The sequence below is a fragment of the Homo sapiens genome, chromosome 17, assembly GCF_000001405.40.
Source record: "Homo sapiens chromosome 17, GRCh38.p14 Primary Assembly".
NCBI classification, from domain to species: Eukaryota; Metazoa; Chordata; class Mammalia; order Primates; family Hominidae; genus Homo; species Homo sapiens.
Genome location: NC_000017.11, coordinates 15,277,471 through 15,286,000, shown reverse-complemented (window position 1 = coordinate 15,286,000; position 8,530 = coordinate 15,277,471). Strand labels below are relative to the sequence as shown.

Below are 8,530 nucleotides of genomic sequence, written 5' to 3'. Positions count from 1 at the left end.
GAATTCTCCAGAAACCGGTCTGTACATCCAGGGACTTCAAATGGCCATAGTGTCCCCATGTGCATGCTGGGAGGGCTGTGCTGAGCCGAAGTATCTGTAATCATTTGGGTGAGAACTGTGTTTTGATGTCCCTGTGCTCCGGCCCCTGCGTGCAGCCAAACAGGCAGGTGCCATCCCATCATCTGCACGTAGAGAGTAGCGATGGTGAGAAAAATTATAGGAATGCTTTCTGGCAAAGACTAATCCTCCAAGATGCTCCAGGAAAATAGTTTTGGATGCAGGAATTGCCAGGTCTGGATAAACATAGTTCAGTCCCTCAGATGTTTGATGTTTTGAACATGACTAAATGTTCGGCTGCATGGCCCTTCATCTGAAGCCTTCAAATAGTTCACATTAAATCCTGATCCTGTCCCAGACAGCGGCCAGTGAAGAGTTATCAGATCCACTGCTCTAGTAACCAAACACCTTGGAGGGTTTATCCTTCAGAGATAAAAGTGAACCAGTGAGAAAGTTAAAGTTTCATACTGAGCTGCTGGAACCACACTGTGCTTACACAGGAGGGTCCAATTCCAGTCTTCTTTGCTAATAAAGTTTCTTTGTACTGGGATCCTCATTTTCCTGATGTTTAAAACAGAAAAAAAGTCATGCCTCAGTATCTGCAGGGATTGATTCTAGGACCTCCTGTGTATACCAAAATCTGAAGATGCTCAAGTCCCTTATATAAAAGGGTATAGTATTCACATACAACCTATACACATCCTCCAGTACACTTTAAATCACCTTTAGATGACTCAAAATACCCAGTGAAATGTAAATGCTATGTAAATAGTTGTTATCCTATATTTTTATTTGTATTACTTATTGTTGTATTGGTTTATTTTATTTTATTTCTTCCTGAACATTTTAATCTCTAGTTGGTTTAATCTGTGGATGTGGAACCCATTGATATGGTGGAGGGCCAAGTGTGATAATAGAAATGTGTCTTGGCATGCATGGCCTCTAAGTATTTTATCAGTTTGAAAAGCAAAAACGGATTGACTTTGCCACAGTAAAGCTCTGGAAGTCCCTGCACATAATAAGCATTCAGGAAGCCTCAGGGGTGATGGTGGTAAAATGATAATGTCCTGATAGCTCTTCCAAGAGGTGTTTATCCCTGCACTAGGGATTCTTGAGACATTCTATGATACTACTATGCTGCACTCTTTCTTGTTTTCTAGTCTTGAAGTCTAAGTGGCAGAATGACACTAGATGAGCCATTAGGTTAGAAATTTAAAACGTTTGAAGCAACATAAACAAGTGAGTTGTCAAACAGCTGAAAATGATGTTTTAACAGCCAAAATGTGACAAATATAAACACAGGGTCATCAAAGTACAGGCATTCTAGTAATACATAGAGGTTTGGAGATTTGTACGTTTTTCTTATTGTGCTTTTATTCATTCATTCAGCAAATACCTGTTTTATGCCAGAGATTGTAATTAGGCAGAGGAATAAAAAATTGTAAGACAAGTCCCAGCCTTCGATGGGCTCCATATATATAGCCTAGAAGGAGGAGTCCAGTAAAGAAATAAATGAAGAAATAAATTCAATAAAGTATAATTAGATCCATAACAACTCGATTTGGTATTCATGATGTCAGCAGTCCGTGAGCAGTCATGCAGGTCTGTGACGTGCAGTAATTTTAATTCTGCTGAGGCACAGAATGAACTGATGAGCTGAGAATAATAAGCAGAAACAAGGCACCAAACAAAAAGAGACCAGCTGACTTCTCGTTGCCCGTGTCTCAGAGATGCATGGTTCTCCATGGTAGCCACCAGCACAGCTGCCTTCTTGTGATAAAATACTTTCTCAGTATTGTCTGGGAGAAACAATCTTGATACAAAAGCCAGATGCTATTGATGATGGAAATGAGGAAAAATTAAATTCTTCTAAGGAAGCAATTGCTCTTATCCAGAAAACAGAAGCATTTTGAGAGGAAGAATAATGCTGTATTAGACACCACCATGGAAAATCATGAAGTGCTCAGAATGTAGCCCTCATGAATAGGATAAGCTTTATTCCATGTACCTTGTGCAATGGTAGGTGAAATATGTCAGGAGAAGATTCATAAAGGAGATGGTCTTGGATCAGATTCTTGGAAGATAAGTCACGTGCTAACCCTCTGACTAAGGTCAAGTGTTAATAAACTGCCTGACCTGTTTGGAAAATACAGGTTGAAAAACCAAAGGGACTTGTGTTTCTGGCCAAGATGGAGTGATAAGGACTGGACTGACTCTCTGGCCAGAAACAACAGCAAAACAAACAAACAAATATCAGACAAAATGTACAGAACAACGGTTTTCAAGACACTGGACATTGAACAACAAAGAACAGTGATCTCTGAGAGACAAGAAATGAATGAGATGAATCCTATAATAGCCTCAGCTCACACCACTGAGTTTCCAGTTCATGACACAAGGAGGAGAAATCCAGGAAGAGCCCAGTGAATTCCCTGAGTTGAGGAGAAAGAACTGAGTTTGGGCAGTCTAAGGATGCTAGGGGTCATAGGACTAAAGTACCAAAGAGGGGAGAGAGAGAGAGAGAGAGACCTTGAAAACTCAATAGAGTACTGATTGGTCCACTTGTGTAAGAACAAAAACAATGTGAGACCCAGGGAAAGGACCAGTCAAAAGAATTTGAGGGAACAATACTTTGTGTTCACACAAGGGTGGAAGTAATACCTGTTTCCACCATCCAAACTGGAAAAACTCATAATTAAGTAGGCTAGTCAGAAAGGTCTTGATTCAGTAGTGGGCAATAATTAGCTCTAGACCTGCCTAACAAATCTCAAAAGCAAAATCAGAAAGGATCAAACTGTTTCCAAGTAATTTAACTGTACCATAAAACAAAGCTCAAAAATATTTGTAGGAAGACAAAAATATCCAGCACCCAACAAGGTGAAATTCACACTGTCTAGCATCTGATCAATATAACCAGATGTGCCAAGAAATAGGAAAAATGACCCACAATGAGAAGAAAATCAATCAAGTGAAACAAACCCATAGCTTACACAGATGTCAGAATTAGCAGACAAGCACATTAAAGTGGTTATTATAACTGAATTCAAGTTGAAAAAGTTAGGTAGAGATGTGAAATGTATGTAACCAGAAATCAAACCTATAGAAATAAAAATGACAACATCTGAGATGAAAAATACATGGGATGAGATTAATGACAGATTAGACCTTGCAGAAGAAAAGGTAAGTGAACTAGAAGACATAGCAATGAAAATTATCCCAAGTGAAACACACAGAAAATAAAATAATTTTATAAAAATGAGGCCAGGTGCCATGGCTCCCAGCATTTTGGGAGGCCGAGGTGTGGGGATTACCTGAGGACAGGAGTTTGAGACCAGCCTGGTCAACTTGGTGAAACTCCGTCTCCACTAAAAATACAAAAATTAGCAGGGTGTGGTGGTGCACACCTGTGATCCCAGCTACTCGGGAGGTTGAGGAGGGAGGACTGGTTGAGTCTGGGAGGCAGAGGTTACAGTGAGCTGAAATGGTGCCACTGCACTCCAGCCTGGATGACAGAGTGACAGTCCATCTCAAAAAAAAAAAAAAAAAGAAAAGAGCATCAGTGCCCCATGGAACAACCTTAAGTTGATTGTGTGTGTGTGTGTGTGTGTGTGTGTGTGTGTGTGTGTAGGCAGCCCTTAAAGGAGGAGAGAAAAGAAAGGAGTTGACAGAAGAAAACATTTGAAGAATGAATGCAATGTTTTTCAAATTTGATGACAATGAAACACAGGTCCAAGAAATTCAATGAAACGGATGTACAAGAAATAGGAAAAAATGATATCAGCGCACATCCTACTCAAATTGCTCAAAGTGACTAATGAAGAGAAAGTCTTATAAACAGACTTTAAAAACCAAGTTCTTTAGAGGTAGAAAGAGATGAAAACAGCAGGACCAGCTTCCTGTGCACACAACCTGTGCAGTTGCGCAAGGTACACTTTGAACAGTCTCAATGCTTGGTTTAATGCCCTGCTGTTGCCATCTTGAAATTTTTAATAATTTTTGTACCAGGGGTCTACATATTCACTTTACACTGGGCCTCACAAATAACATAGCTGGTCTCAGAATAACACATGTTTGATCAGAAACAATGCAAGCAAGAAGACAGTGAAGCAACATTTTTAAAAGCCGGAGAGAAAAATATATCTGTCAACCCATAATTCTATACAGAGGAAGAAATATTTTCAAAAACAAAGGCAAAATAAGGACTTATCAAATTGTGTTCCTTAAATTTGTGTGGTTTACTCCATGCTAACTACACTTGAATAAAATTGTTTTGCAAAAAGGAAAAACAAACAAAACCCCTTTTGGTAATGGTTGATGCTCTGCCCCTCAGCCTTCCTCTGCATTTACCTGTCAGCTCAGGGGAGGTTCCTATACCTGCTGACAGCTCTCCCACCTCAAGCACATGCATCCCTGCTTTGGTGCAGAGGGTGGGGGGGCGGGTTTCAAAGGAGCCGTGGGAGTTTTCTCAGCCTGTATACAAGGATGAAAGTGACAGGATTTAATGCTTCTAGGAGCAACTCTCAACCAATGACAAATGGGAATCAGTGGATAATACCCAAAATGAAGCAAATGAGGCTCAGACAATATAAAGGATCTTCCCTATGCCCATTAATGAGAAGACTGAATTGGGTCCTCCTGCATCAAGACAATGCTATTCTTCTGGATCTGCCCAACAAATGTTAAAAGCAAATCCAGAAAGAATCAAACTGTTTCCAAGTAATGTAACTGTACCATAAAACTAAGATCAAGAATACTTATAGGAAGACAGAAATATTCAGCATCCAGTAAGGTGAAATTCACATTGTCTGGCATCCCATCAACATGATCAGAGAGACACTGGGAGGTGTGTTCTACCTGAGTCTTTAAAAACTTCCCAGCAATAGTAACCCTCTCATAAAAGAATCCCATGTTGGCTTCCCCCAACCCCCCTGCCATCTTATCTTACTTTTCTCATTCCCTACTTTTGATTGCTGGAATCATCTCTCAGATGGAAAGCCTGCACCAAGCCCTTGCCTCCAGGTGAGTTTTTGGAGGACTCCAAAACCAAGACACTTCCCTTCTTGACCAACTTCTCGCACAGTCTTGCACTCAGAATTCCTATTCTCTCCTAATTTAGCAATTCCTTGGTTGCTAAGCTTTACAGAAGATGCCTGTCTTTAATAAATCCTATTGAATTATATCTTTCTTTGGATTCTTGATTCCTCTTTAATAGTTAAGCAGTTTATATTGTAGCTTAACTCCTCTAATTTGACATCTAGATCTGCAATCCCTACGTTGCCATCAGCCACAAAGGGTTATGGTGCTTTTGAAATGTGGCTAGACCAAATTGAGATATGCTACAGTATAAAAAATGTATATTGGATTTCAAAGACTTAGTACAAAAAAGAACAAAACATTTCAATATTTTAATATTAATTATTTGTTGAAATTAGTTTGGACATATTGGGTCAAATAAAATTTATTGTTTAAACTAATGTTTCTTGTCTTATTTTACTCTATATAATGTGACTTCTAGAAGTTTTTTAATTTACATACATAGTTCACATTATAGTTCTATTAGGCAGAGGATTTTTGCAATTGTCCAAGACTGTGAAGGACTCTCTCAGCTTTTGATTGATATTAATTGGTTACTGCAGGTGTCTTCTACCCTGAGGGTAAAAGGAGTTTGAAATCTAATTTTAATACAAGAACCAGGGGAAAAAATTGACCTTTAATGAGTCACTTTCAGATAGTTCATTGCAAGTAATTTCTAGTTTACAAAGCAATAATTGTAAGAACTGTTCATAAGTCAGTTATTTGCCCTTGAAATATCATTTCCCATAGAATTGGTTTTAAGTGATAGTTTCATGCCTAGCTAGCCACATAGGGAATTCAGCCACATGGGGAATTTCAACCACATTCTTTGTTCAGTAGATTTTGTGGCCTGGTTTGAAGACTCAGTCACCATTTTAGACATGGTTTTTTGGAGATGTTGGGTGACAAACAGAGAAAACATCACATTTATTCAAAAGGTTCTTTTTTGCCAGTTGCCGGTGTCTGTTGAGACAGAAATAGGTGCTGGTGATAGGTCTGGCCTCCGGAAAAAACTGGATGTCACCTCTGTCTAGGAAAAGGGCATCTTTTAGTCACTGGATGAAGGGTTTGTTTAAGACCTTGGAGGGCTTCTTCCTCCCTGGAGAGGCCTGTCTAAAGCTCCTGGCTACTTCAGATCATGTCAGTCCTGAAGAGGGAGGTGAGGTATTCTTAGGATTCCAGACGCTCTCCAATTTCATACAGGTTCTTTTAACCCAGAGTAATGTAATGAGTGAAGAGGATTGTGTAAAATGATAAATGAAAAATAAATGTCAGTTTCAGGGAGGCAGTAGGGTCTGTGGAGAGTTGGTAAAATAGAATACATATCTCGCTATGGTAGAGACAATGCTCACCAGATTCTGTGTGCTCTCCCATATTTCCCTGTCCCCTTTGCAGTTGGCTTGGGTCCATTGGATTAATTTTGGTCAACAGGCTCTGAAGAAAAATGACATTTCAGGGAATTAAGAGCACGTGTTCCTCCCTCTACCTTCTCTTTCTTCCCCCAGTGACCTTGGAGGCTACTTGTTGATAAGGTGAGTCACAAGAAGGAGGAATCCTGGATCCCTGAGTCACTGTTTGGATTATAGTGCTTACCAACCCTCATTGGACTTTGAGTGACTAAGAAATCATCTTTCCTTGGATTAAACCACTAAGATTTCGATTTTATTTGCTATTTCAGCAGAGTCCATTCTATCTTGACTAATATACTACCTAATTGTGAGCCATTACTCAGCTCCAAATGACTCCTGCCATACAGTCATGTACACATGGCATTGCCAAATAGCCCAGCTTTTCAAGAGAAGCCAGAAGCAGGGATTTTCATGTGACTCTAGGTTTAAAATGCTGAAAATGAATTCAGTTTTAAAACACTGTGACCCAATACTGTGTAGACCAAACATATCAGTGAGCTGAGTTCAGCCCATCAGCTGCCAGTTTCCAATCTGAGTTCCCTCTAGCCTACTCAAGTATTTTGCAAACTCTAAATGTTATAGTCTCTTTGTAATTTTAGACATAAAAGCACCAATTATGTGAAACAGTGGTGTGGAAAGAAATGTCTCAGAAATTTCAGTCTAATGTGTTATGAGGCCATGACTGACAAAGGACAGCCCATAATCCAAAGTGAAACCACTTTTTCATCTTTTCTGTCTTCTTTCCCTGCTCTCCTGTTTGCTTCTTTCCTTTTCTACCACCGTTAAGAAAATATGTGAGGTGGTGCCTAAGGTCAGGTTTCCCAGAAGCAGACACCGCAACAAGCAACAAGGATTCACAAGCAAGTGACTTATTATGCGAGGGCTCCCAGGGCAGACTGGCGAAGGGGGAGGGGAAACAGGGCAGGCAAGGAGAAGAAGCCGTGCAGGGGTATGATCTCAGGCAAAATCCACAGTGGGTAGCTTCAGCCTGATCCCAGGAGGAACATTGGAAGGTAGGTTCCAGCCCATAATTATCCTATCCCAAAGCTAGCGACCTGACTTCATTTTCCTCAATCTGACAGTCTGGTTAATGGCCAAGGTGGGGTGGGGGGCAGGCGGGTGGGCTCTTGCATTCCCAGCTCTCTCTGCCTGCAGGTTAAGTGGCTCAGAAGCCCAAGCAGGCTACAGAGAAGAGCGGCAGGACTGGCTGTTGGAAGCCGAGTGATGGGGGCAGCCCAGGGAGCAGATACACGGAAAAGATCAAATGGGATTTGACAGAATTTGGGTGGAACTTCAACACTGTCACTTTAGGTATATAAAAAAAATTAAAGCAAGGGGAAAAAAGCTCTGAAAAAAATTTCTCTGAAACTGCATCATTAGTGAGTATAGTTCTTTATATACTCATGGTAACTGTGTGATTTTGGACATCTCATTGAATTTCTCTGAGCCTAAGATAATTTGAGATTACAGTAATCCTTCAATATCCTCAGGGGATTCGTTCCAGGAGCCCCTGAGGATACCAAAACGTGAGGATGCTCAAGTCCCTGATATAAAAAGGTGTAGTATTTGCATATATCCTGTGCACATCCTTGTGTGTACTTTAAATCATCTCTAGATTACTTGTGATTGCCTAATATGATGTAAATGTTATGTAAATAGTTGTTACACTGCATTTTAAACATTTGTCTTTTTTTATTTTGTTGCACTGTTAATTTTTATTTATTTATTTTAAAATATTTTCAATTTGCAGTTGGTTGAATCTGAAGAGCCCTTGGATACGGAAGGCTGACTGTGTATGGCTACTCTGAAGAATGCAAGAAACAGTGTGTGATACGCTTAGGGCTTAGCACATTTTGGTACTCACTAAATTTTCTCAACATCTTCCTTCTACTTGCTCCTGGTACCCCTTATTCAAGCACCAGCTGCCTTCTGCTCTCCCCAGCCTGCTAGAACACACCTGGGTAGGAACCCGCACTGTCCCTAAGCAATGC

General features: G+C 40.2%; 1 annotated feature.

The window, feature by feature from the left end:
• Nucleotides 6,473-7,672: an enhancer, noted in NCBI's record as "CDK7 strongly-dependent group 2 enhancer chr17:15181646-15182845 (GRCh37/hg19 assembly coordinates)". NCBI's record gives its function as "activates an origin of replication core promoter dependent on BRD2, BRD4, P300/CBP, MED14 and CDK7 cofactors, with strong dependence on CDK7, by STARR-seq in HCT116 cells {active_cell/tissue: HCT116}" and the evidence as "EXISTENCE:reporter gene assay evidence [ECO:0000049][PMID:35650434]".